Source organism: Homo sapiens, chromosome 4, assembly GCF_000001405.40.
Source record: "Homo sapiens chromosome 4, GRCh38.p14 Primary Assembly".
Taxonomy (NCBI): Eukaryota; Metazoa; Chordata; class Mammalia; order Primates; family Hominidae; genus Homo; species Homo sapiens.
This window is the reverse complement of record NC_000004.12, coordinates 152503111-152531107: the sequence shown is the minus strand read 5'-3', so window position 1 is coordinate 152531107 and position 27997 is coordinate 152503111. Positions and strand designations below refer to the sequence as shown.

General features: G+C 37.1%; 1 protein-coding gene across 13 annotated transcripts in view, besides 1 other annotated feature; it reads left to right on the top strand.

Moving 5' to 3' along the window:
- Window positions 1-27997, top strand: part of FBXW7 (F-box and WD repeat domain containing 7) — a 215549-nt gene that overhangs the window by 4985 nt on the left and 182567 nt on the right. Inside the window, exon 3 of one of the 13 annotated variants that reach the window (XM_047415897.1) lies at window positions 258-27997. This exon is cut by the window's right edge and continues 13282 nt beyond it. The exons of the other annotated variants lie outside the window; for them this stretch is intronic. The gene's annotated coding sequence lies outside the window, so the exon portion shown is untranslated. The remainder of the gene's footprint in view (window positions 1-257) is intronic. 13 annotated transcript variants of the gene reach the window in all.
- Window positions 14953-15171: a silencer, noted in NCBI's record as "fragment chr4:153437089-153437307 (GRCh37/hg19 assembly coordinates)". NCBI's record gives its function as "represses an EF-1alpha promoter that drives an FKBP-Casp9 reporter gene in an ReSE screen in HepG2 liver carcinoma cells {active_cell/tissue: HepG2}" and the evidence as "EXISTENCE:reporter gene assay evidence [ECO:0000049][PMID:32094911]".

Below are 27997 nucleotides of genomic sequence, written 5' to 3'. Positions count from 1 at the left end.
GGGAATTAGAGAGCCTTGAGGGTATATGTTTGTGTGTGTGTGTGTGTTTTAGCACCCACCAGATGACCCCAAAGGCCATGCATAGGCTCATTTCATTGTACTTTGGAGATGGTTCTTGGAGAAGTCTTCTGGTGCTTCTGACATCTCATTGTGTAGAGAAAGAGTTGGCAAACTATTTTTGTAAAGGGCCAGTTAGTAAATATTTTAGGTTTTACAGGCCACATGATCTGTCACAACTTTCAATTCTGTTCTTATAGTGTGAAAGCAGCTGTAGACAACAAGGAAGTGAATGAATGTTGCCGTGCTCCAATTGGCCCATAGGCCGAAGTTTTTGGACTCCTGGTATAGACAACTGCCAAATCCACCAACAAACAGTATGAGCTTTATTACACTACAAAGCCAGGACTGGCTATTTTTGGTGGTCTTTGTTTTCTAGATGAGATGTTTTTCTCTGAGTTCATTTAAAATGATTCTGCATAAAGCACATACTCTACTGTACAAAATACTTTTGCCTTCATGGTGATGAAAACTATGGATTGAGGGTCGGGGTGATACCATCTTTAAAGGGATGCAGCTAAAAAGTAGGGACTACCTGCATTTCTTATCTAAAGATAACCACAGTTGGCATTTAGTGATATACTGGCTTTGTATCATGGCCAAAAGTATCTGTAAAGAAGCTTGTGGGCATACTTTTGAAACCTTCTGAAAATAAATGTAAAGCATTTACTTCGTGTGTAAAATTAGAAGTGTCTATGGTTGGTTTGAATAATATGAGTCAAATTATAAGAGCATTAAAGTTTGATACTGCTATCTATTAAAGTCTTAATCTCTTGCAGTGGCTAATTCAGTGTGTAGAATTACACATCGCAATTTTTGTTTTGTTAATTTCAAGTACTAGTGTATATTAACAAATCACTTAAATCATTTAAATGTGTACTTTAAAAAGCTTTGATGTATATACATATATATACGTATATATATATATGTACACGTATATATATACACGTGTGTGTGTGTGTGTGTGTGTGTGTGTGTGTATTTTTTTTTTTTTTGTGACGGGGTCTCATTCTGTCACCCAGGCTGGAGTGCTGTGGTGTGATCTCAGCTCACTGCAACCTCCACCTCCTGGGCTCAAGTCATCCTCCTACCTCAGCCTCTCGAGTGGCTGGGATCACAGGCATGCGCCACCATGCCCGACTAATTTTTTTGTATTTTTGATAGAGATGGGTAACAACTTTTGGATTGATAGGGAATTAGAGAGCCTCGAGGGTATATGTGTGTGTGTTTTAGCACCCACCAGGTAACCCCAAAGGCCATGCATCATGTTGCCCAGGCTGGTCTCTTAACTCCTGAGCTCAGGTAATCCATCTACCTCGACCTCCCTCAGTGCTGGGATTGCAGGCGTGAGCCACCACACCTGGCCAGCATTGCTATATTTTTAAGAGTGAATCTTTCTCACATGTGTTGTTCAGAAAGTGTAATTCACTTTGTGCAATTTTACATTACAGTTAATATTAAAATATTTGTTTCATATGTCAGCAGATACCAACATTGGATGATGGTATATTTAGTTTCATAAATCCTATTTATTTTAGGATTCCCTTGTTTATGGCAGGGGTGGAGATTACTCTTGCAATAATGATCACTTTTTAGTTAGTTTGAAACCTGCTTTTAGTTTATATGTAGTATTTCTACATATTGTTACTTAAATTGAACTAACAATTTACTTTTTAATTTTTCTTCTTCCTTTTAAAAAAAGAGTATATAATCTGACAATGTTAGTACATCTTTTAGAAGGTCACTATAAAGTTGCTTTCCCTATTTATTTGGAAAGGATTATTTCCTTATTATTTTAAAAAATCTTTTAATTTTTGTCTTTTCAAGTAATTTTATCATTGTCCCAAGCCTAAGGATGAGTGGCAATTTAAAAGACACAAGGTGTGCATCTTCTATCTGCAAATACTCCAAACAGAAATTATTCCAGTTTGTTGATACTTTGAGTGGACCAGGGAAAAATGTGTATGTTTTTAGTGTAACTGAATTGTCATTACAAAAAGATGAGTAAAGTTGCTGTTAAATAATGAATTCTTGCTGTTAATTTGTCCTGTTCTTAGACTTTCCCCCATTAAGTATAATGGGGGAAAATGTACACACACACACACACACACAAAGTATGTATGTGTAGATATACCTAGCGTATTGTGCTAGATGTTCATTTCTGCATGACTGCTCTGGAATTTAGGCAATATTAAAAGACCTTACAAAATATTTTTAATATCACTTAATATCCTGTTTTATGTCTTAATGTACTTTTATGTTTTTGCTGCTTTCTGATGATACCTCCTTGGTACTTCCTCATGATACCTTTCACAGTATGTTTAAATGGAATGTATTTTCTCAAAGTACGTGACATTTTCTGAACACTATGGGATATATATCTTCTAGTAATTATATTTTTACATGCAAGTATCTTTAAAAATTTCTTCCTATTACAACTTAAGAATTGTGAAACATTTGAGGGAGCATCTGCAGTTTGAGCACTTGATCTGGATATTGGAATGACAAACTTAACATTTAACTAAATTTTTCTGAGGTGTTCTTTTACAATTTTTGAGTTAACACTTGATTTCTGTAAAGCAGAAGGCTTATAAGAAGAAAATATGAGAGCCAGTGTTCGTCTTGTATTATCCTGCCATGCACGTAGTTGAAAATCAGAAACAAACAGAAATGCACAAGAGACCTTATTGCTTGAGTATCTTCTGCTCTTCCCCCATCAGACCTAAGGGACAGCTAGTGGATCAGTCAGATACTGTGCAGTTTCTGTTGCTATGCTGTGTCACCTTTGCCCTTTCTTTCTATCTGGAAGATAGCTACTGGAAATCTGGCTGTAAGAAAGAGATAGCATGTTTTTTTCCTCTCTCTCTCTGTGTGTTTCTGTCTGTCTGTGTACCTGTACCTAGTGTATTGTGTTAGATGTTCATTTCTGCATGACTGCTCTGGAATTTAGGAAATATTAAAAGACTACAAAATATTTTTAATATTATTTAGCCTTTTCTCTGAGAGGATCACATCCTCTGGCTTTGGCGTTTTCATCTCACAGCATCTTAAACGAACCCGTCAATGTTTATTATCAGTTCCAAATGTGAAGTCTCAAGGCAAATTGTTGGTTTGTTTTTGGAAGAATGTATGTGTGTGTGTATATATATGTGTGTGTGTGTGTGTGTGTGTGTGTGTGTGTGTGTATATAATTTTTAAATTTTTAACAAAAATTCCTGATCTAGTCAATGCTTATGAGAGTGTGTGTGGTTTGTATAAAATTATTTTTTTTAGAGACAGGGTTGCTTGTTGTCACCAGGCTGGAGGGCAGTGGTGTGATCCTTGCTCACTGCAGCCGTGACCCCCTGGGCTCAAGTGATCTTCCCACCTTAGCCTCCTGAGTAGCTGAGTAGCTGGGACTATAGGTGTGTACTGCCACACCCTGCAAATTTAAAAAAAAAATTCTGTAAAGACAGGGTCTCACTATATTGCCCAGGCTGGTTCTCAAACTCCAGGACTCAAGCAGTCCTCCTGAAATGGCCTCCCAAAGTGTTGAGATTACAGGCTGGGGCCACAGTGCCCGGTCAGAGTGTGTGTATTTTTTAACAGCCTTTTAGGATTGCATGCTTTTTAGGGGGGTGAATGAGGGGTAATATACCTTTGCATGACATTCTCTAGGTCTGAGAAGGAGTTGCTTCACTAAAAGTGTAATTTATAATTACCAAATGGTTGAAAACAGGTCTACCTGGAGTCAGCAACAGGCAGCTAGTTTACTTCTCATTTACGTAATAAAATACATTCATAATATGCATTCAGTAATTCATAATTCAATAATTTCTTGGCTTCATGGCCTTGGACAAGCTATTTATTATCCTTTTAATTTTGGTGGCATCACCTGTTGATGGAGGAAAACGTGTCCTTTACATGGTGGTTGTTAGGATTAAATGAGATAATATAAAGCATGCAAAGCTCTTAATCCAGTGCCTGGCATATAGCATTTGACCCATCAGTGTTAATTTATTAAGTTAAAGTTGTTTTAAAGTGTGTTGTAGATAGAAGATTTAAATCAGGCCTTATATTAAGCCCAACATTTAAATTCAACACTTGAGTTTGACAAATAATACTGAAGTAATTCTGTGTTTTCAGAAACATCTAAAACTTCATTAACATTTTATTAAAAACTGAAGAAATGACAGAACTGTTGGGCTTTTTTTTAATAGAAAAGAAAGACTGATTTGAACATAACTGGAATTTGAATTTAGTTTCAAAGATCTCAGTAGTGCATGGACCAGAAAAGAATCCGTTTTTGAATAGTTAGTGATTATGATAGTGACTGTGGTTTAAATTGCCCATTTAGAAATAGCAGGATCTAATTCAGTTATCAGCCTTTTTAGTTGCCCATCTCTTTAACCCCTGGAAATAAAAAGCTTTAAAAAATCATTAAGAAGTTGAACGGAAATTTTATCTGTGTCATTTACATCTCAAATTAAGATCGAAATAATTTTGTTTACATGATTCTATTTTAACTACTTAATTTTAGTTTTTGTTTTTTCCTGAAATTATTAGTATGTGGGTTTTAAAAATTCCTTTTTTTGTGTGCTTAATATTTGTTAAATACAAGATTGGTTTTCAGAAATACCTTTTCTTCGAGTAGGGCATAATCAGTGTTTTATTGGCCAATACAATAAATAAATGCTTCTTGATTGTTTTTGTATTTGGAAAGAAATTCTATGTTGAGAACAGTTTTGGTATGCTTTCCTTCATTGGCTGTTTATTGAATAGAACTGTATATTTAAGGTATATGAAAAAAATCTAAGCTAGAAAAAAAGACTGAGATACATTCTTGGAAGAAAATACTTGCAAACTATGCATCTGACAAAGGTCTATTGTCCAACGTCTATAAGAACTTAAATTTACAAGAGAAAAACGACCCCATTAAAAAGTGGACAAAGGACGTGAATAGACACTTCTCAGAAGAAGACTTACATGTGGCCAACAAGCAAAGAAAGCTCAATATTACTCATTAGAGAAACGCAAATCAAAACCACAATGAGATACCATCTCAGACTATTCAGAGTGGCTACTATAAAAAGTCAAAAAATAACAGATGCTAGTGAAGTTGTGGAGAAAAGGGAACACTTATATACTGTTGGTGGGAGTGTAAATTAGTTCAACCATTGTGGAAATCAGTATCGCGATTCCTTAAAGAGCTAACAGCAGAACTACCATTCCACCCAGCAATCCCATTACTAATGGGTATATACCCAGAAGAATATAATTCATTCTACCATAAAGACACATGCACACGCGTGTTCCTTACAGCACTAATCACAATAGCAAAGATGTGGAATCAATCTAAATGCCCATCAGTGACAGATTGGATAAAGAAAATGTGGTACATACACACCATGGGATACTGTGCAGCCATAAAAAAGAAGGAGATCATGTCTTTTGTGGGAGTATGGATGAAGCTGGAGGCTATTATCCGTAGCACACTAATGCAGGAACAGAAAACCAAGTACCGCGTGTTCTCACTTATAAGTGGGAGCTAAATGGTAAGAACTTATGAACAAAATGAATAGACACTGGGGTCTACTTGAGGGGGAGGGTTGGAGGAGGGAGAAGAGCAGAAAAGATAACTATTGGGTACTGGGTTTAATACCTGGTTGTTGAAATAATAAGTACAGCACACCCTCGTGACATGTGTTTACCTATGAAACCTTTACATGTACCCCGAAACCTAAAATAAAAGTTTAAAAAATATATTCTTTAGCACTGATTATCTTGCTAGCTGTGACTTCTCCTTTTAAGGAAAGTTTGCTTTAGATTTTGGTGTAAATGTAGAAATTAGATGGGTTTATCTGCTAGTGGCTCTCTAGTTAGATGATTAATGAATATTCTAGTTTAAAAAATTTCAGCATTTTAAATACTTTTCTTTATTGGTAACGATTTGGATTATGCTTCTAGGGATCTTTACATTTCATAGTTTTTCAAAAAAGACTTTATAATGAGTTCCTGGATGGGAAGAAGAGCATGTTCTCTCTAGTTTATTTGATTTCTTCCTGATTATTATGTATGTAATACTGGAAGGTTGTGTAAATAAATATTTGGGTTGTAAGTTTTCTTTTGCATGATTGGTGGTCTCTTAATTGACTGCTGTGTGAATTTGATAGTATAAACTAGAATGCTTATACAGTGAGTGGGGAAGCCTTTTTCTACTGAGTGTTATGCAGGTGGATTTTTCCCCCCTGCGGATAAATACTAAACTTTTATATTACCAGATTTAGACATTTAGACAGGAAACAAAATTTCCTTTTTTTTAAAATAAATGAGCGGGAGAAGAGAGTGGGGTTGTACAGAGGTGGGGAGAGAGGCAGTAAAGGAGGGAGGAAAGAAGAGGCAGATATCAGGGAGAGTGGCTCCGGAAGTTTTGAGTTCAGTCTTAGTCAGAGGTCACACCCTGTTATTTCTTTGGGTTGTGGACATGAGGTGTTACCACTTGTTATCTGTCACCCTTTGAAATGATGATTAGATTATTGGTTTTTATTCATAGCTTTTCAACATTTGGGTTCTTTAAACCATTGAAGGTTTAGTTTGTATGGGATAATCAGTGTTATTTTAGGGTGGGAAAATTTCCACCATACCTGCTAGGAGAAGGGGATGGCCAAAGAGTTTTTGACTTACAGAGGAGTTTTTTTGTTCTGTTGTTTTTTCCTCATTGACTCTATTTCGCTAGCTTTGTCTGAGAGGGGTGCTTATAATTCTATATGTGACATAGTAGCTGAGAGGCAAGCTTTGGAGTTGATAGACCCAGGTTCCAGCTCTGCTGCTTTGTGATTTCAGGCAAGTTATTTATTCCATGTGTGTTTCTTTTAAAACTGGGATGATAATAATAGTACCTGTTTCCCTTATAGAGTAATTAAGAGGATTGAGTGAGATAATGCATGTAAGCCTTTAGCACAGTGTCTGCCTAAGTTAGCATCCAGTAAATGTTAGCTGCTGCAATAATAAGAAATATTATAGTATTAAGTTATTGTTATTTCTGTGAGGGTGCTGGTTTTCTGAATGCTGAGACATTGGTGATCTTTGCTCCTGAACGTGTTACTATTTGGAATACTGCCTTTATTCAGCAGCAGATTCAGTTCAGATTTACTGAACACCTACTATGCCAGGAATTGATCTAAATAAGCAAAACAAAAATCCTGCTCTCTTGAAACTTACTTTCTGGTTAGGAGAGACAAAATACACAAAACAAAATAGATGATGTGTCACTCAGGAAATTTGGTTGTTGGACTTTGTCTAAGCTTTCATTAACCAACCCTAGCAGTCTTAACCTTTACATACTTTTTGATTGTTCCTGTTGCTGTGCTTGAGAGTGTTTGGAGGTAGGGGCACCCTAAAAGCGTATCATAGACTAGCTTTATTGTCTCCAGCTTCAGCTTGATCCTAATTTTAAGGCAGCCTTAAATGATAGTTTTCATCATTTCCTTGACTTACTACTTAAATTGGCTATCTCAAAACTTTCAGTCCCCAAAACTTGTATTTCACATCATTCAGAGAGATGTTGCTCCTCCCCAGCTGCTCCTCTTTTGCTCTTCTATGCCATTTTCTTAAGAGGAGGGGATACTAGAAGCATCTTTTTAGATTTATTTTCTGACTAGTCTAACTGTATACTTTTCTTTCTCATATTTTGTGTTTTCTACCCTTTATTTATTGTTAACTGATACATTTAATTTGCTTATTTTCTTTAAAATATGTGTTTTTTTTGGTCTCTCCAATTAAATTGTGAAAGTTTTTAGGTCAGGGACCACTTTTCTATTTTGACCTTGAGCTTACTCTCTTGAAAAAAAGATAATACCACCCAGGGATGTTGTGAGACCTCAAAGAGATAATGTGTGAAAGGGGTCCTGGAGCCAGATCCTTAATAAATGTTAGTTTCTTCTTTGAACCACTCTAGTTGCTGAAACTGCTGTGCATATAATCAGTGCTTAAAAAATGCTTGTTAATTTATCTTGAATTGAGTTTGTGAACTTTCAATTGTCACTTGGTGGTAGTTTTAGTTTTTAGTGCTAGATAAGATTCAAAATACTACTTTTCAAGTGTCAGATGATAAATGCTGGGTCATTAGTGGTAGAGCTCAACAGTGATTAGGAGCAGGAACTTGAGCCATCATTGTTTGGGTTCAAGTACAGGCTACCACACTTACTGGTTGTATGACCTTTGGCAAGTTGTTTAACCTCCCTCGGTTTCTTTATCTGTAAGGAGGGGAAAATGATATCTACCCACCTCATGGTTACTTCTTTGTTAGTATTAAACGAAGTAAATGAGAAGCTCGAAACAGTGCTTAGTATATAACAATCTATAACAGGGTCCCCAGGGGACATTTGGCACTATTTGGTGATGTTTCTGATGGTCATTTGGGGGAGTGGGGAGAGGGAAGGGTGCTACTGGTATCTCGTGGGTAGAGGTTAGGTATAAACAAGGTATAGGACAGCATCCACAACAAAAAAATTACCTGGTCCAGAATGCCAGCCCTGCCAAGCAACATTGGGAAACCCAGCTTAGTTCCTTTGTATAAGGTACTTTGCCAGTTAGATTCTGTATACATGCTGATTATTGATAAAGATGAGTCACAGACATGGATAGGCTTCATTTAACATTCATTTTAAAAGACAGACATGTAAGAAGGTTAGTAGGTTTCATTTCTTTTTAAGGTTACAGGGAAAGTACTCCAAAATTAATCTAAAAGTCCTTACACTTTTTTCAGAAACTGAGAAAAGGTTCCAGATGAATTTTACTAATTTAATTTTTTTATGACGAGCTATTCATGTAAAAGTGTATTATGAATAGAGGGCTTATGAGATATGAGTGCCGTAGTGTGTATTCATAAAGTCAAACGTACACTTAAAAAACAAGTATCAAGGTAAATGGAATGATCTATTGGGGGAAACCTTGGAGCTCTCTCTCTTTCCATATGTTTTATTACTCACCAAGTCAAGGGCTCTTTAACTTAGGATCTTGTTTTTCTGTGTACACTTTTCCTGTTTACTGTTTAAAATTGGACCCTTACTAAAAATACAGAAAATTAGCTGGGCATGGTGGCGTGCACCTGTAATTTCAGCTACTGGGGAGGCTGAGGTAGGGAGAATCGCTTGAACCAGGGAGACGGAGGTTGCAGTGAGCTGAGATCGCGCCATTGCACTCCAGCCTGGGTGACAGGGCGAGACTCAGTCTCAAAAAAAAAAAAAAAAAAAAAAAAAAATTGGACCCTTACCATTCCTTGTCCATTTCAGGAGCCTCTTAATTGCCTTGCTTCTGTTCTTTCTCTGTATTCCCACTTGAATTGACTCTTCTTTGCTGGGATCCCTTTGGGATCCCTTCTAGTCCAGATCCAATCTACCCTTCAGAGCTCCTTCCACCGTCCCCTTATTTCTGGGAGAGAATTCAGCCTTAATACCCTAAGGATGGAATTTGAATGTACTGACTTTTCTGCTATTTACAGGGTTGTGTATTATCTTTGGAAGAATTGGGAAGTCATATCATTTTCTGTATGTTGTGGTTCAGGTGACTTGTTTCACTTGTATCCAAACACTGGTTGTGTGTCCATGTATATACAGCATGTATGTACTTTAATGTCTATTTGTATGTGTGTGTACATGTATATTCTTTCATGTATATTTGTCTCTACACCTTGCTGTTTCCTCTGCTTGGAATATTCTTTTCTTTTCATCTGGGAAACATTTGTCTCTTCAGACCCTACTTAAATATTGATCTCCTAGGAAGTGTGTCCTGATTAATATAACTAGAATTAGTTATTTTTTTCCACTGGTTACCCACAGTATCTCTGTGGCTTTTATAGCACTTAACATCCTTATTTGTATTTTTCTTTTCTACTGATCTCTCAGTTCTTTGAGGGCAAGAGTCTTGTCTTAGTCAACACCTGCTCCCCCAAGTACCTAACATTCCTGCCACATTGTAGACATATAGTATGTTAACAAATGAATGGGAGAGACAAAAAACTGGAAAGCTTTTAAATAAGTTCTATGGGGGTTGGCAGGAGGGGAGACCACACATTATCTTGTCACCTTTGTTTCCAAGTGCTTAGTGTTGTGCTTGCCCATAGGTGTTCAGCAAATATTTGTTGAATGAATTAGAAGCAAATCCCAGGAGCTGATAAAATTTTCATGTGAACTTTTTTCTTCTGCATTTCTAGAAAGCATATCCTAGAAGTAAAGTAGCTTAGATATTTTGGAACATCTTATTCTTAAAGTCGACCTTCCTATTTTTGACTCAGTAGTGAAACTTTGATCCAATGGATACTTCCTGAATAGTGCTTTTGGCTGATTCCTTTTTCACAACATAGGTCCGTTCTGGTGTTGAGTTTGTTGGAAAGATGAATATGTAGTATCATTTTTACATCATGGAGGAGCCATCATTAAGTAACAGTGTTAAATAAGGACTGGTCCCCTTTGCACATTTGGGCCCAAATTAAGTGAGTATGTACTCTTAAGTATGGGTAATGATTGAGGCTATTGAGGTGTAGGAAAGAAAGAGGACAACTGGAGGTGAAGAAGTGACCTACTAGATCTCTTTTGCTTTTGGTAATGATTGATTTTTTTTTTTTTTTTTTTTGAGACGGAGTCTCGCTCTGTCGCCCAGGCCGGACTGCGGACTGCAGTGGCGCAATCTCGGCTCACTGCAAGCTCCGCTTCCCGGGTTCACGCCATTCTCCTGCCTCAGCCTCCCCAGTAGCTGGGACTACAGGCGCCCGCCACCGCGCCCGGCTAATTTTTTGTATTTTTAGTAGAGACGGGGTTTCACCTTGTTAGCCAGGATGGTCTCGATCTCCTGACCTCATGATCCACCCGCCTCGGCCTCCCAAAGTGCTGGGATTACAGGCGTGAGCCACCGCGCCCGGCCGGTAATGATTGATTTTTTACCCCCAGTTATTTTTAAAGAATTGGCAAGGAAGGAGAGGGGTATGAATCTAGAAGATAAGAATGTAGATTTTGTAATTCATGATCATTATTATTACCATGTATTGAATGTTTACTGTATGTCAGGAACTGTCCTAAGGATTTTTACAACCGTTATTTAACTTAGTCCTCACAGCAGTTCATATGAAATAGCTACTGATGTTTTATGGCAAAGGAAACAAATTCAGAGAAATTTCCAAGAACACATCGGAATTTTGACTTGCAGAACTGGGATTCAAATCTAGATCTGTCATACTCCATGGTCTATGCTTTTAATCATGCATGCTGTCTCTTAAGTTTTTATTGAAAATGGAAAGTTGTACTGACATAGGAGGGGAAAATGATAGAAAATCATCCTATTGGAAGGCAGATTAACAGACTCGTGAAGAAGCAATTCCCAGTTTTATGTCATTATACAAAATAATTGTGAAATTGAAGTCCGTCATTTGAATTGATTTGCATTAACCCTCATTTTTTAGTCTTGCTCTTGGAATCATCATCAGGACAGGTGTCCCAGATATGTTAGCAGTAGAATAAATTTATCTAGGCAAAATCTGTCTAAGATTATGGAGAAAACTGATTTTATATGTGAAATGTGTTGTTGAGTGAGAGTTAAATCTTTTGAAGGAGATTATTTCAGGATGAGCCTCAAATACATTATTTAGGATTTGAAAACCTATGGTTTAGCAGAAAATCTGAGAATCAACATTTGTTAGTCTCTTGGGTATAAATTGCTTAAGTCAGTGGGTATCTGATTATTCTTTCTTTCTTTCTTTATTTATTTATTTATTTATTTTTGAGACAGAGTCTCACTCTGTAGCCCAGGCTGGAGTGCAGTGGTGTGATCTTGGCTCACTGCAAGCTCTGCCTCCCGGATTCACGCCATTCTCCTCCCTCAGCCTCCTGAGTAGCTGGGACTACAGGCGCCCACCGCTACGCCCTGCTAATTTTTTGTATTTTTAGTAGAGACGGGGTTTCACCGTGTTAGCCAGGATGGTCTCGATCTCCTGACCTCGTGATCCACCCACCTTCACCTCTCAAAATGCTGGGATTACAGGCATGAGCCACCACGCCTGGCTTCCCTTATGTAATTTCTTAAACTATTTTTGTTTGCTGATTTGGTGTTTGTAATTTAAAAAAAATTTATTTTTTCTTCTTTTACATACTTTGTAGAACTATTCCCTACCCAGTGAGTTTATTTATAGATATTTCATATTTAATTAATACTGTGAGAACATAGTTTTTATATCTGTATTTTTGTTTTTTCATTAGGATATTTAAAATAATTTTTGTAATTCTGTTACCTTAAAAAGAGCTAAACTTAGATGTTGGCCTTTAAAAATGTTTTGTGAAAGATTTTCTCTTGGTTCCATTTAAAATACTGTATTTGTAACTATAGTTAAATACATTTGAACTTTGCCCTTTTCAGAAATTTTAATTATATGCCTTTATAAAATTTTATCAAAAGTTACATGCAAATACTAAGTATAGAGTGCTGAAGCTGAGCGTGATGGCTTATGCCTATAATCCCAGTTACTCGAGAGGCTGAGGCAAAAGGATTGCTTTAGGCCGGGAGTTGGAGACCAGCCTGGGCATCATGGCAAAACCTTGTCTCTACAAAAATAAAATAAATTAGCTGGGTGTGGTGGTGTGCACCTGTAGTCCTAGTTACTTGGGAGGCTGAGGTGGGAGGATGGTTTTGAGCGTAGTAGTTCAAGACTGTAGTGAGCCAAGATCCTGCCACTATACTTTAGCCTGGGTGAGAGAGCAAGACCCTGTTTCAAATATATAAATAAATAAAATAGTAGGCTGGGTGCAGTGGCTCATGGCTGTAATCCCAGCACATTGGGAGTCCAAGGCGGGTGGATCACTTGAGGCCAGGAGTTCCAGACCAGCCTGGCTGGCATGGTGAAACCCTGTCTCTACTAAAAATAGAAAAATTAGCTGGGTGTGGTGGTGCGTGCCTGTAATCCCAGCTACTCTGGAGGCTGAGGCAGGAGAATTGCTTGAACCCGGGTGGTGGAGGTTGCATTGAGCTGAGATTGCACCATTGCACTCCAGCCTGGGCGACACAGCGAGACTTTGTCTTGAAGAAAAAAAGAAAAAAATAAGTATTGAGTGCTGAATGATGTTCTATAAAAGATTAAAAATGCCTAAGTGGAACTAAATTCTGGTAAATAGAATTTAGGGGTTGGGGTAGAAAGAATCAGATAAGTACTTCAAGATTTTCAGACTTTAAGTCTAAGGCTCATTAGTATCCTCTGACATAATCTACTACAGGTTTCCTTTCTTAGAAGTGAATGTTAATATGGCACCACTATACAAATAATATCGATATCGGTATTTGAGTGTTTATTATGTGACAGGCACTGTTCTGTGTCCTTCATGTGTATTACCTCATCCAGTCCTCACGATAGCTCTATGAGGTAAGTGTTGTTAATATCCCTATTTTATAGCTGAAAATTTGGCATAGAGAAGTTAAACATGGTCAAGGTCCCACCTTTAGTTAATAGTGGAGCTGGGATTGTTTCCAGGCAGTCTGGCTCTAGAGCCTGGGACCTTAATCTTTATTCTATACTGTCTGTGTCATCTGTAAATTTATTTCTTATATATTATTTATAGAACAGTGCCTGGCACACAATAAGAGCCATAGAAGTACTGGCTATTTTCATTGGCATTTAATTATATATGAGGTTGGCAGAGCATGCATTATTATTCCATTTGTTTATTTATACTATTAATTAGATAGTAGACTTTATTCAGATTTCTGTGTTTCCTTTTTTTAAATAGTCGAGTTTACCGAAGTTCTTAGAAACTGGATGATTGCCTCCAATAATGTGGCCATGCTAGATCTCAAAATTAACTTTTTTAAAAAAACCACCCCTCCAACTTTATTTACACTTCCTTAGAAATGGATAAAGACCAAGATTGGGCTTCTGTTTTGATATGTCATTGGTTTAGAAAGGCAGAAACAGCCTGGCACGGTAGCTCATGCGTATAATCCTAGCACTTTGGGAGGCTGAGGCGAGTGGATCGCTTGAGCTCAGGAGTTCGAGACCAGCTGGACAACATGGCGAAACCATCTCTACTGAACATACAAAAATTAGCTGGGTGTAGTGGCACTTGCCTGTAGTCCCAGCTACTTGGGAGGCTGAGGCAGGAGGATTGCTTGAACCCAGGAGGTCGAGGCTGCAGTGAGCCAAGATGGTGCTACTGCAGTCCAGCCTGGGTGACAAAATAAGACCCTGTCTCAAAAACAAACAAAAAAAGCGGAAACAACCATACTAAGTTTACAGTATTGTTTGTGTGCCTACTTGGTGGAAGAAATAAATTCTTAGAAGTTACACTTTCTTTAAAAAATTAAAAATTAAAAACTGTGCAGTGTTGAGATTAGTATTACCGCTTATCTTGCTGACTTGTGAAATTGAATTACATCACTTATAATAATGTGAAGTTTTAGAAATTGTTTTGATGATAAAGAGTAGCAGCCTTTAAGAGAAATAATATAAACCATGTTTCCTCAAATCTAAATGGTCATCTGTATGGTATTAGTTTTCCATCGCTCTACAGAAGCAGTCCCCAGCCTTTTTGGCACCAGGGACCATTTTTGTGGAAGACAGTTTTTCCGTGGATGCGGGGAAGGAGAGGCAGTGGGGAATGGTTTGGGATGAATCATCAGGCATTAGGTTCTCTTAAGGAGCACCTAACCTAGATGCCTTGCATGCACAGTTCACAATAGTGTTTGTGCTCCTATGAGACTCTAATGCCACAGCTGATCTGACAGGAGGCGGAGCTCAGGCGATAATACTCCACCTGCAGCTCACCTCCTGCTGTGCGGCCGGGTTTCTAACAGGCCACGGACCAGTACCAGTTGTGGACCCCTGCTCTACAGCAAATTAACACAAATTTAGCAGCTTATCTTACAGTTTCTATTGGTCAGGAATTTGGGTATGGTTTAGCTGGGTCTTTCCTCAGGTTCTCACTAGGCTGAAATTAAGGAATCAGCCGGGGCTCCTATCTCTTCTGAGGCTCTGGGTTCTCCTCCAGGCTCACCGGTTGTGGGAAGAGTTCAATTCCTTGTTCTTGTAGATCTGATGTCCCTGTTTGCTTGCTGGCTGTCAGCCAGGGACCACTTTGAGCTCCTTAGAGGCCCACCCCCGCCACCATGTTCTTGCCATGTGGCCAAGTTATTATGTTGTGTATGACTAAGGAAGAAAAATGCTGGATTAAAATATAAGACAAATTCTTACTTTATGTATGACTAAGGAAGAAAAAATGTTGAATTAAAACATGATACAACACATTATTGCTTGGACAGTGCCTTGCAAAAAAAAAAAAAAAAGAGAGTTGTGGTTATTCTTCCAGCCACAATATCTGCTTCAGAAATGTCAAATTTATTTTCTACTGTTGTGTTTGTGTTCTTTTTTGTAAACAACTTTTTTGTTTCAATGCTGAATCATAGTATTTTACAGGACATTTAAAATTAAGAAGTAAGCGTGACTTCTTATTGTACTACTAAATGTACAGAATTTAGTAATAATTATGGTGATATAAACTGCCATTACCCAATTTGCAAGTGTACAGGGAATGACAGCTATGTTGTGACTGCCATGGGCAAATGGTGATTTGTAAAGCATTGTTGCTTTTTTCCCCCCATTTTAAGTTGATTTTATTGAGATATAATTTATATACAGTAAACTACAAGACATTTCTGTCACCCTCAAAAGATTCCTCATGCCCCTTCACAGTTAAATCCTTCCCTGCACCCTCGCTTCAGGCAATCAATGATCTGCTTTTTTATTACTACAAATTAGTTTGCATTTTTTAGTATTTTAAACAGTGAGGAAAAAAGAGGAGATGGAGACAGGCTATTTTTAATTTTTATATTTTCTTCTTTGTTCTTAGAGAAATCCTAGTTTCTTTATTAGGCATTAGGTTTATTCCTTCAGTGTGGGGGTAAAGTGATTCTTCTTGAAGCTTTCTAAGTATGTTTCCTAGATGTTCTTGACCTCTGTTTTGCCTAAGATAACTTTTCTCCAGCATACCCAGAGTTGGCTCTCTTAAACCATACGTGCTTGTGTAGCTCCCTCATCCATATTTCTACTTATTGTCTTTTCAGGACCGTAAACAGAGGTATTTTTGACTTGACATTCTCAGCTCCTAAATAATCTTATAGTGTTACTGAGGCTTTTCACCTGTCACATACCCCCGTCCTAGTCTCTTTTTGTGTTGCTGTAAATACCCGAGGCTGGGTAATTTATGAAGAGAAGAGGTTTATTTGGTTCATGGTTCCTGCAGGTTGTATAAGAAGCATGATGTCAGAACATCTGCTTTCTGGTGAGGGCTTCAGGAAGCTTCCACTCATGGCAGAGAGTGAAGGGGAGCAGGTATCACATGGTGAGGCAGGAAAGGAGAGAAAGAGGAGAGGGGGTGCCAAGCTCTTTTTATCAGTTCTCATGAGAACTTACAGAGGGGAAACTCATTCATTACCTTGAGGATAGCACAAGCTGTTTATGTGGAATCTGCTCCTATGACCCAGGCACCTCCCACTGTGCCCCACCCTCAACATTGGGGATCAGATTTCAACCTGAGATTTGGAGGTGTCAAATATTCAAATTATATCATCCCCTAGAGAACATACCTCCCCACCCCTGAGAATCTCAGAATTTCTTGTTGAGAATTCATATTACAGTATGAGTTGTAGGAAACATGAAGGAAAGATTTCCCTTCTAGTCAGTTCTTATATTTATCACTTGTTTCATGCTCCTTGGTGTGTATAGTGTTTTCAGGTGCAGGAAATGCTCTGGGAAGAATGTTGCTTCTTAGAACGTAAGAGAAAGGGAACCCCAAGGGAAGACTCAAATGAAGTCCTTAAAAAGCCCACTTAGCTTCTTCTGAGACAGCATTGTCCAATGGAATGCAAGCGAGATAGTTAAATTTAAATTTTCTGGTAGCTATGTTAATAAAGCAAAAAAAGAACCAGCCAACATTAATTTTAATAATATATTTTATTTAACACAATATATCCCAAATGTTATTTTAACATGTAATCAATATGAAAACCATGAAGACTTTGATATTTAAAATTCTTATTTTAATACTAAATCTTTGAAATCAGTGTATATTTTATACTTACAAGACATCTGAATTTGGACTTAGTCACATTTCAAGTAAGTGCTCATTAGTTAGTGACTACCTTAGTGGACAGTGTAGATGTAGATTATGAACTTTTTAGGAAAAGACAATAGCATGTGGACTCCACAAGAAATTGTCTTTAACAACTGTTTGACTCTCATAGGTTAGGGCTTTAGTGTTTCAGAATGGTTTCTATGGTTGAGATGTAAAGTTTTTTATTTTTATAAAGGTAAGTACATTTTTATACATTTTCATTATACAAGTAATGTCATTGTTGAAGAGTTGGAAAAGTCTGGGTAAAAGACAACAAATTGTCCTCACTTCCTCAGTCCAGAGATAACCAATGGTAAACTTTATTGAATTTCCTCTTTGGGAATGTTGCTTTTTAAAATCAAAGAGAAAATAGATTTCTTTTTTGTCATAATTCCTTCCTGTTCACATTCAGACATACATTATTATTGACAATTCTTTTACCTCTTTGTTTAAATTTATGTATTCTTTTTCTCGGGCTGTATCCTCCAATAGGGTCTCTGTGAGTGGAGTACTCTGGAGCACAGTAACCTGAATGGTGCTTCCCTGGATTAGGGTTAACAATAGAAACTTCAATGGCTTTTATGTACTCATTGCTAAACCAGTGTAGTTGCTTTCTATTTTAACTATCTGCGATCTCTTTGCATATCCTGCAGCTTTTTTAGTTATTGAGGTATAATTTGCATACCAGAAAATTCACTCTATTAAATACTCAATTCAGGCCGGCATAATTTGCATACCAGAAAATTCACGCTATTAAATACTCAGTTCAGGCCAGGCGCAATGGCTCATGCCTGTAATCCCAGTTTGGGAGGCTGAGGTGAGCGGATCACCTGAGGTCAAGGGTTCGAGACCAGCCTGGCCAATATGGTGAAACCCCGTCTCTACTAAAAATACAAAAATTAGCCGAGCATGGTGGTGTGCGCCTGTAGTCCCAGCTATTTGGGAGGCCGAGGCAGGAGAATCGCTGGAACCTGGGAGGTGGAGGTTGCGGTGAGCCGAGATGGTGCCATTTGCACTCCAGCCTGGGCAACAGGAGCAAAACTCCGTCTCAAATAAATAAATAAATAAATATTCGGTCGTTTTCATTGTATTCACACAGTTGTGCAGTAATTATCACTATTAATCCAGAACATTTTCATTACCTCAAAAGAACCCTGATGCTCATTAAGGAGTCACTTCCCATTTCCTCTTTGCGCAGTCTCCTGGCAACCACTAATCTACTTCCTATCTCTATGGATTTGCCTATTTTAGACATTTCTTATAAATGGAGTCATACAGTACATGGCCTTTTGTGTTTGGCTTCTTTCACGTAACACGATGTTTTCAGTGTTCTTCTGTGTTGTAGCATGCATGAGAACTTCATTCTTTTTAGGACTGAATAGTATTCAGTTGTATGGAGGGTACCACATTTTATTCATCAGTTGATGGACTTTGGGGTTGTTTCTGCTTTTTGAGATCACATTCATTCTTCAAGAACATTAATTTCTTAATATCGTCCTCCATTCTTATCAAAGCTTTCAGTGGTTTCCTGTTGTCTATAAACATAATAGAAAAATATTTAGTTTGCATTCAGTCTTACAAAGTGTAACTTCAAGTTACTTTCTTTTCCACTCTTATTTTCCATCTTGTTGTTGTTTACTGTGTCTAAAATATGTGCTATATATGAATTATAAAATTATGTAGACAATATAGATAACCTTGTCATCTGATCTAATTTTTAAAAAGTGAATTTGAATACTGCCAAACTAAGGAGTATGTGTAGTATGGAGAATTTGAGAAAGACAAGTATCAGTAAAGAAGAAACAGTATAGTAAAACAAAATTTTTTTCTGCCTTGGTCCATTGAAAGAAATATTTAGTTTCATATAATGTGAACAAAAACCTTAATTTTGAATGAACATTTGATACATAGGAACTCATTCAAATCATTGATTTTCTGGTTAACTTTGTTAGTAGTTTGTTTTTTTCTGAGTCTTTTGTTTTAATCCAGATAGTCAGTCTTTTTCTCCTTTTTACATGCTTGAAATGGTAAAAATGAAATATTTTTACTTATTCTTAAAAATATTTCCAGAATGTCTTACACACACATACACTTAGAAACAAATACAAATATATAGTGATATTCTCTCACATTTTACAGAGAAAAGCGTAGTATACATACTTTGTTTTTTAATTTCACAGTAGATCTTAGAGGTCTTTTAATATTAGCATACTGAGAACTTTCTCATTTTTTTCATAATAGTATTGTTTATTCCATTGTGATGAATATGCTATTGTTTTTGAAACTAGTCCCATATTGGTGGACATTTAGGTTGTTTCCAGGTCCACTATTACAGATAATACTACAGTGAATAAGTTTGTACATGTATCATTTCATATGTATGCCAATATTTCTGCAGGATAATTTCCCAAAAGTGAAATTGCTGAATCAAAAGATATATCCACCTGAAATTTGATTACCCATATTTTTAAGCATAAAGGAAGAGATAAAGGGAAATAAATAGAAAAAAAAGAAACTATAGATTTTCAAAAACTTTGTTTATAGATGAAAAAATGGAGGATTAGAACTTTTAAGTAATTGTCCATGGTCATGCACTCCACAGAGGACTGGGCATGGTGGGATTCGGTGGGGGGGGCGGGGGGCTGTGTCAGGATGCTAACCCAGGTGTTCCTGATTTTAAATAAGCTGCTATCCTTCCTGTTATATTCATACTGCATGTTATGAGCAAAAGGGGAGAGAAGTCGCCAACTTTTTGGAGAAAAAGAATAAAATCCCAGACTTTATTTTTGGGATCATCTGAGGTGGGAAGATGGCTTGGGCCCAGGAGTTTGAGACCAGCCTGGGCAACATGAAGAGACCCCCTGTCTCTACAAAAAAAAAAAAAAAAAATTAACCGTGGTGTTTGAGGCTTCAGTGAGCTGTGATCACTGCACTCTAGCCTGGGTGACAGAATGAGATCCTAGTATATGTAGGTATTTAATGTATATCGAAGGCAGCATTTCAGATTGGTGGGGGAGAAGATGGATTATTTGGTAATTTATATTGCAGCAACTTTCTATTCATTTGGGGAAAAAGCCCTGTCCCTTGCTCTTACTCTTTACATAAAAAATAATTTAAAAATGAAAGCAAAAGGTAATATCGAAGGATGTCGTGAGGTTAGCCTTATTCAATAGACTGACCTCAGTGAGTACTGAACTCATGAAAGTTTCATTTTTTTCCCAGTCACTGTCTTTTGCATTTTCCTTAATTGATTTTTAACATCACCTTGGATTAATCTCATAGCTTTCCCAATATGTTTTTAGTTATGAAAAGTCTATTTCTCCTCTTGCCCCGTATTAGGCTTGACCTGTGGCTGGAGAGATCTGTGGTACTGTTTCATATGTACCGCCCTCCTCTTTCTCTCCTCCCTTTTTTACTTGTTCTGAAAACAATGAGTAAGGTTAAAAAATTATTTTTCACAAACATGAAAAAGGTTGATAATACGTAAGTTTTGAATATGGGGGAAAGTTACTCTCATACTGTTGTTGGGAGTATACATTTTTGTGGCCTTTTTGGAGAGCAGTTTGACAGTATTTATCAAAATAAAGTACACAGGCATCTTGAATCAGCAGTTGTTCTTCCAAAATTTAGTAGTACAGATATACTGACATAACTTTACTTGAAAGAAGAATCCTTTTTATAACTTAGTGTTTATTGACAAGAGAATTAGCATTTAGAGTCATTTATTATTCTAACTCTTCTACCAAAATGGTGAGATGTGTTGTAATTTACTGGACGTTTAGGTTGTTCCCAATTTTTTTGTAAGTATGAAAAATGCTGCAGTGAACATCTTTGTCTGTGTGCTACCCAGTCATCACTGTTGAGAATGTTTCTTAATGGCTATATTTAGGTAAGTGTTATTTCCCTTTATTTCCCCTCTTATACTTTAAGGAGCACAGGAGATCTCAGTTTTAATCGCAGCTCAATTGCCTAAATGGATGTGTGACTTAAAACAAGCTCTTTAACCTTACTGAGCAGGAGGTTCTGCAGATATGGGCCTCTCAGACTATTTTATAGCAGTAATAAATGGACTACCTATTGTCACATTCTTCATGATCCTGTAGGGAGTATGTGTCAGTAGGACAACCCATTGAGTGACAGTCCTAACTTTCTTGGTTCCTCTCCCTCATTGTGAGGTCATTGTTTCACAATTGTATATACTTACTGATTCAAAAAACAACTCCAACACTTATTGAGGGGTAGTACTGTTCCCAGTTGAGAATTACTGTTGTAAAAATTTTGGCAGGAATTATATAAGATTATTCATGATTGTTATCGACTTATCTTTATTCCTTCATTTTTTTTTAAAGCAGGAAGCAATAATAGTTTACGTTCGTTAACCTCAATATCTACTCTAAAACATGTTGTTTTTCTTGTTATTACCATGAAAGTCTGGGTTAACAGGAGACGAGACTAGCTTCTTCACAGATACATACATTAATTTGACATTATAGAAAAATGAGACTGTATCCTGACTTGCCAGTTTGGTTTTGATTGGTGGTTTCACCTTTTTTTTTAGACTCAGGAAAACGGTGGCAAAAATAGTATAAAGGGTAAATTCTCATATGCCCTTCATTCAAGTTCCCAAAATTTAACATCTTATGCAGTGACAGAAAAATTATCAAAATCAGGAGATTAACATTCATGTAATACTGATAGTCTACAGACTTTATTCAGATTTCACCCATTTTCTCACCAATGGCCTTTCTCTGGTCCAGGATCACAATATGAAATTATTCACGTGTTGTATTTTAGTTATCATGTTTTCTTAGTTTTCTTTAACCTGAAACAATTCCAGTCTTTCTTTGCCTTTTGTGACTGTTATACTTTGGAAGAGTACTGGTCAGTAATTTTGTGGAATATTGCACAATTTGTGTTTGTATGTTTTCCTATGATTCAATTAATTTTAAGCATTTTTGATTAAGAATACTGCAAAAATGATTTTATGAATCTTATTTAGAGGCACATGATGCTGATTTGTCCAGTTATCAGTGATACTAATTTTCAGTTCCTTTCGTTAAGGTGGTATCAGGTTTGTCCACTCTAGTTGCTTTTTTTCCTTTGTGATTCATAAGTAGTGTTGATTCAGATTCTAGGTTAAGAAAAGGAAAAAAAAAAGTATCCTATGGGAAGGTACTTAAAAATAAGTACTTTGGGACCAGGTAATTAACATTTCTCACCATACTCTACCAATTTTTAACTTCCTTGCTGTTTTTTTTTTCTTTTTTTTTTTTGCAGTGGCACGATCATGAGTCACTGCAAGCCTCAATCTCCTGGGCTCAGGTGATCCTCCTACCTCAGCCTGTTAAGTAGCTGGGACTGCAGGTGCACACCACCATGCCTGGCTAATTTTTCATATTGTTTGTAGAGGCGAGGTTTCATCATGTTGTCCAGGCTAGTCTCGAACTCCTGGACTCAAGCCATCCTGTGTTGGCCTCCCAAGGTGTTGGGATTACAAGCGTGAGCCACTGCCTGGCCCCAGACTTTAACTTTTATTGATGATTTTGTCATGGTGATTTTCTGTTTCCATCATTTCTTCTGTATTTACATTAGTGGTTTTTGGTAAGGAAGAACTTTCCCTTGTTATGTATTTATTTAATGTTTTATGTATATCAGAATGGACTCGCGGATTTTTTTTCCCCTCTTATATCAGATGGACTTACAGATTCTTCTATGGATTTCATCTATTATCATCATTATTTATTTTGGTGCTCTAATTATCCCAGGTTTGGCCCCATGAAGCCTCTTCAAGGAGGTTCCTGGTCCTTTTGACATGTCTCCATCATTTTGTGAGGGCTTAACTTTTTTTTTTTCTTTTTGAGTCAGGGTCCTGCTGTGTCACTCAGGCTGGAGTGCGCAGTGGTATGATCATAGCTCACTGCAACCTGGATTTCCTGGGCTCAAGTGATCCCCCTGCCTTAGCCTCCGGAGTAGCTAGGACTACAGGCCAGGTATGTGCCACCACACCCAGCTAGTTTTCGCCTTTTTTTTTTTTCTCCAATAGAGACAGAGTCTTGCTGTGTTGCCCAAGCTAGTCTTAAACTCCTGGCCTCAAGCAGTCCTCCCACCTTGGTCTCCCAAAGTGCTGGGATTATAGGCATGGACCACCACACCTGGTCAGAAGGCTTAACTTTCTAGTAGCGCAAAATGTTCTAGTCTCTTCTTGTGCTTTTCTCTGCCCCAGCCATGAAATCAGCCATTTCACCAAGGAATATTGATTCCTTTTACTGGAAATCGGAATTCTTCCATTCCCCCTGCCCCCAGTACTTGTATCTTACCATCTTTTTAAAAGTCTTTGTGTCTTAGAACCGTGTTAGATGATCTGGACACATTACCCTGATGTACAGAAATTAGTTTATACACGGTAATTCTTTTTGTAGCAGACTGTTTAATTTGTAGCAGATTCATTTTGCACTGATTAATCCTGGAGGATTTCTTCACAAGTTACATTGTGTCAAATATGTTATTTCATGGGAACACAATTGAATTTTTTCCTTAATTTTGTTCGGTATTTGATAATAACAATTTAAAAAACTTTTCTAAGAGCTTCCTTCTAATATTATATGATATAGGAATGTTTACATTTCTCATTTATTTATTTGGTGTAGTGATCTCAGAAGTTTTTTTAAAAGAAAAATCTTGACTTTGTCTCAGGTACTCTCAGTTCACTTCCATGTGGGAGGGTCATTTGCCATCCATCCAGATTACCTTTTTGATTAGGCTTTTCAGTGTCTATAAATATTTCGGTCTTTTCTGATCATTTAATTTCTAATACATGCATATGCTCCTATGTATAATAAATAGACAACTTCAAATTTGCAGTTTCTAGATGGTTGGAAAAGGGAAACATTGTGGTGTGTAATTTATCAGCCATCAGATCCTAGATATTTGAGATTTTAACTAAGCAAGGTATTAGATAGACCATGTTGTTTTGGCTTCACAGAATTCATTCATATTGTGCATTACACAATCAGTGTGCATATTGCACATTGATTTTATCTGTAAGTTGTCTTTATCAGTGGTTCTCAAAGTGTGGTCCCCTGCTAGTATAGTATCAGCCTCACATTGGAACTGGTTAGAAATGCAGACTTCTCAGGATCCACCTAATTGCAGTAGTTAATTTTAACAAGCCCTTCGGTGATCCTGAAACATGTTACAGTTTGAGAAACACTGCTATAATACGTTTCATTTAAATTGTTTCAGGTTGTGGGGGTAGGGAATAAGACTACCAATTTATTCATCTTCTGTGCAATATTACCTGTTTACCTAACTCTTAGAGATATTAAGATATTTTGAAGAATGTGTCCCATGAGATTATAATGGAACTGACAAATTCCTATTGCTTAGTGATATCATAGCTGTCATGAAGTCTTAGTGCTGTACCTTACTCATGTGTTTGTGGTGGTGATGGTGTACACAAATCTTCTGCACTGCCAGTCGTCTGAAAGTATAGCACATGGCCGGGCGCGGTGGCTCACGCCTATAATCCCAACACTTTGGGAGGCTGAGGCGGGCAGATCACAAGGTCAGGAGATTGAGACCATCCTGGCTAACACGGTGAAACCCCGTCTCTACTAAAAATACAAAAAATTAGCTGGGTGTGGTGGCGGGCACCTGTAGTCCCAGCTACTCAGGAGGCTGAGGCAGGAGAATGACGGGAACCTGGGAGGCAGAGCTTGCAGTGAGCTGAGATCGTGCCACCGCACTCCCGCCTGGGTGACAGAGCAAGACTCCGTCTCAAAAAAAAAGTATAGCACATACAATTATGTACAGTACCTAATACTTGATAATAAAGGACTGTGTTACTGGTTGATATATTTACAATACTGCACTTTCTGTTGTTACTTTAGAATGCACTGTTTGAACTTTAAAAAAATAAATTCACTTTGGGAGGCCGAGGCGGACGAATTGCTTGAGGCCAGGAATTCGAGACTAGCCTGGCCAACATCGCAAAACCCTGTCTCTACTAAAAATACAAAAATTAGCTGGGTGTGGTGGTGCACGTCTGTAATCCTGGCTACTTGGAGGCTGAGGCACGAGAATTGCTTGAACCTGGGAGGCAGAGGTAGCAGTGAGCCAGTATAGCGCCACCACACTCCAGTCTTGGTGACAGAGTGAGACTCTACCTCAAAAAAAAAAAAAAAATTGCAAAACAGCCTCAAGAAGGCCCTTCAGGAGGTGTTCCAGAAGGCAGCACTGTTGTTGTAGGAGATTACAGTTCCATGTGTGTGATTGCCTCTGAAGACCTTCCAGTGGGACATTATGTGGAGATGGAAGACAGTGATATTGATGATCCTAATCCTGTGTAGGCTTGGGTTATTGTGTATATTTGTGTCTTAAAACAGTTTTGAAAGTTAAAAAAATTTTTTTTAAAACAGGAAAAAGGCTTATAAAATAAGGATATAAGGAAAGAAAATATTTTTATATAGCTTTACTATGTGTTTTAAGCTAAGTGTTATTACAAAACAGGCAAAAAATTAAAACGTTCATAAAGTAAAAACGTTATAGTAAGCTGAGGTTATTACGGAAGAAAGAAAAAATTTTAAAATAAACTTAGTACAGCCTAAGTGCACACTGTTTATAAAGTGTATGGTAGTATACAATAATGTCCTAGGCCTTCATATGCATCCACCCCAACTGACTCATCTAGAGCACCTTCCAGTCCTGCTAGCTTAATTTATGATACAGATGCACCGTTTTACATTTTATATACCTTATTTTTAATATACCTTTTATATATTTAGATGTGTTAATATCATTGTGCTACAGTTGCATACAGTATTCAGTACAGTAACATGCTGTACAGGTTTGTAACCTGGGAGCAATAGTTTATACCATGGAGATTTGTGTAAAAGCACTGTGTAATATTCACACAAAGAAGAAATTGCCTGACACATTTCTCTGAATGTATCTTTGTCATGAGGCGATGCGTGACTGTATAATTTGAGCCACACATGTTATTTTAAAAATTGCAATACCCTTATTAATGTAAAAAGCAGTTGAATTAATTTTAAGATATTTAGCCTGATGGAGCCATGATATTACCATTTCAACATAATTTATAAAAAAAATTGTTATTTTAGATTCTCTTTGTACCAAGTTTTTGAAATCTGGTAGATATTTTATATCTCAATTTCAACACTAACTTTTTACCGGAAGTAATTGATCTTCCTTTAGATTTCATAAAGTTTATGGTTGGAAAAGTAGATTCACATATCTAAATCGTTTCAGACACACTTAAGTATTTCGCTACCTGAATTAAGTACCAAAAAATAATTTTTCTGTAATATTTGCATCTAAATTGGTAAAACTGGTTCATGTTTTTTAGTAGAATGTAGTAGACTTTGAAGCAAAACTGTATCCATTTCAAAATTGAGCTACTGAAGTTAAGCAAATTCATGAACTCTTGTGTCAACTCCGTATTACTGACATTATATTCAAAAGGAGATTGGATGTTAGGCAAATCTATATTAAATAAAGTGTTTTTCAATGATTTTTTTGTAATTTTTGCAGCCACTTTGCAAAACACTGTCAATTAAAATTTATATATGTTGATTTATGTTAGAACAAAGTGTAAAATCTTTTTTATTGGTTTGTGTTATGAAAACTTTAAATTTCAATGTAAATTTATAAGAAAGTTCTTATAAAATTTCTGGCATACCTTCTTCCAGTTTCTTTTTATTTTACTTTTTCTTGTGTTAGCCTGGTCATAAATAAACTCTACCTTTCTTTGGTGCTTCAAGTTAAGCTTGTTCATAGGCATTGAGATGTAAGTGAGGAAACAAAAGAATACTGCCATTTTTGTCTTTTATTACTTAATAGTGAAAAGCATCTCTTTCTAAAATCAGAGTTGACATTAGAGTAGATCTTTGTGAAGTTATTCCACTATACCCAGTGAGCAAAGAACACAGATGTTTTAAATGTATTGTTTTTTATTTTTTTAACATTTCCATGAACTGGCTAGGATTCATATTTTTGGCATGTACATACTGAACAATTCAACTCTTTACATAGGGCTTTTCATAGTCTGTTTCAGAAAGCTGAACACAGATATTTTCAATGTGTATCATACAGTGGAATAAAGGAATAGGAGAAACATCAATTTTTGCTTTTAAAATTCCTAACATAGCTGGAGCTGTCTGTTGTGATAGAAACTAATTGTTTAATACCTAGCTGAAATTCTTTGACAGAGGTAAAGGATTAAAAAATATCTATGCCACTCTTGATTTTTTTTTTTTTTTTACAGCTACATAGTGACAACTTTTTCTTAAGTTTAGAAGTTCTTTCAAATAAATTTCACCTAAAAGATTTAATTGGGGCCGGGCACGGTGGCTCATGCCTGTAATTCCAGCACTTTGGGAGGCCAAGGCAAGTGGATCTCTTGAGGCCAGGAGATCGAGACCAGCCTGGCCAACATGACAAAACCCCATCTCTACTAAAAAATGCAAAAAATTAGCCGGGCGTGGTGGTGTGCATCTGTAATGCCAGCTACTTGGAGGCTGAGGCAGGAGAATCACTTGAACCTGGGAGGTGGAGGTTGCAGTGAGCCGAGATTGCGCCACTGCACTCCAGCCAGGGCAACAGAGCGAGACTGTCTCAAAAAAAAAAATTTAATAAGGTAGTGTCTCTTATATCACATGGCTCATCTAAAGCTAAAGGGAAATAGTAATTTTTCACATTTTGAATCTGTTGATTTTTCGTATTATTAGAAAGGTCTTCCATATGATGGATGGTGTCTTAATTGAATATCTTCCACGTGTTGTAAAGTATCTATTTTA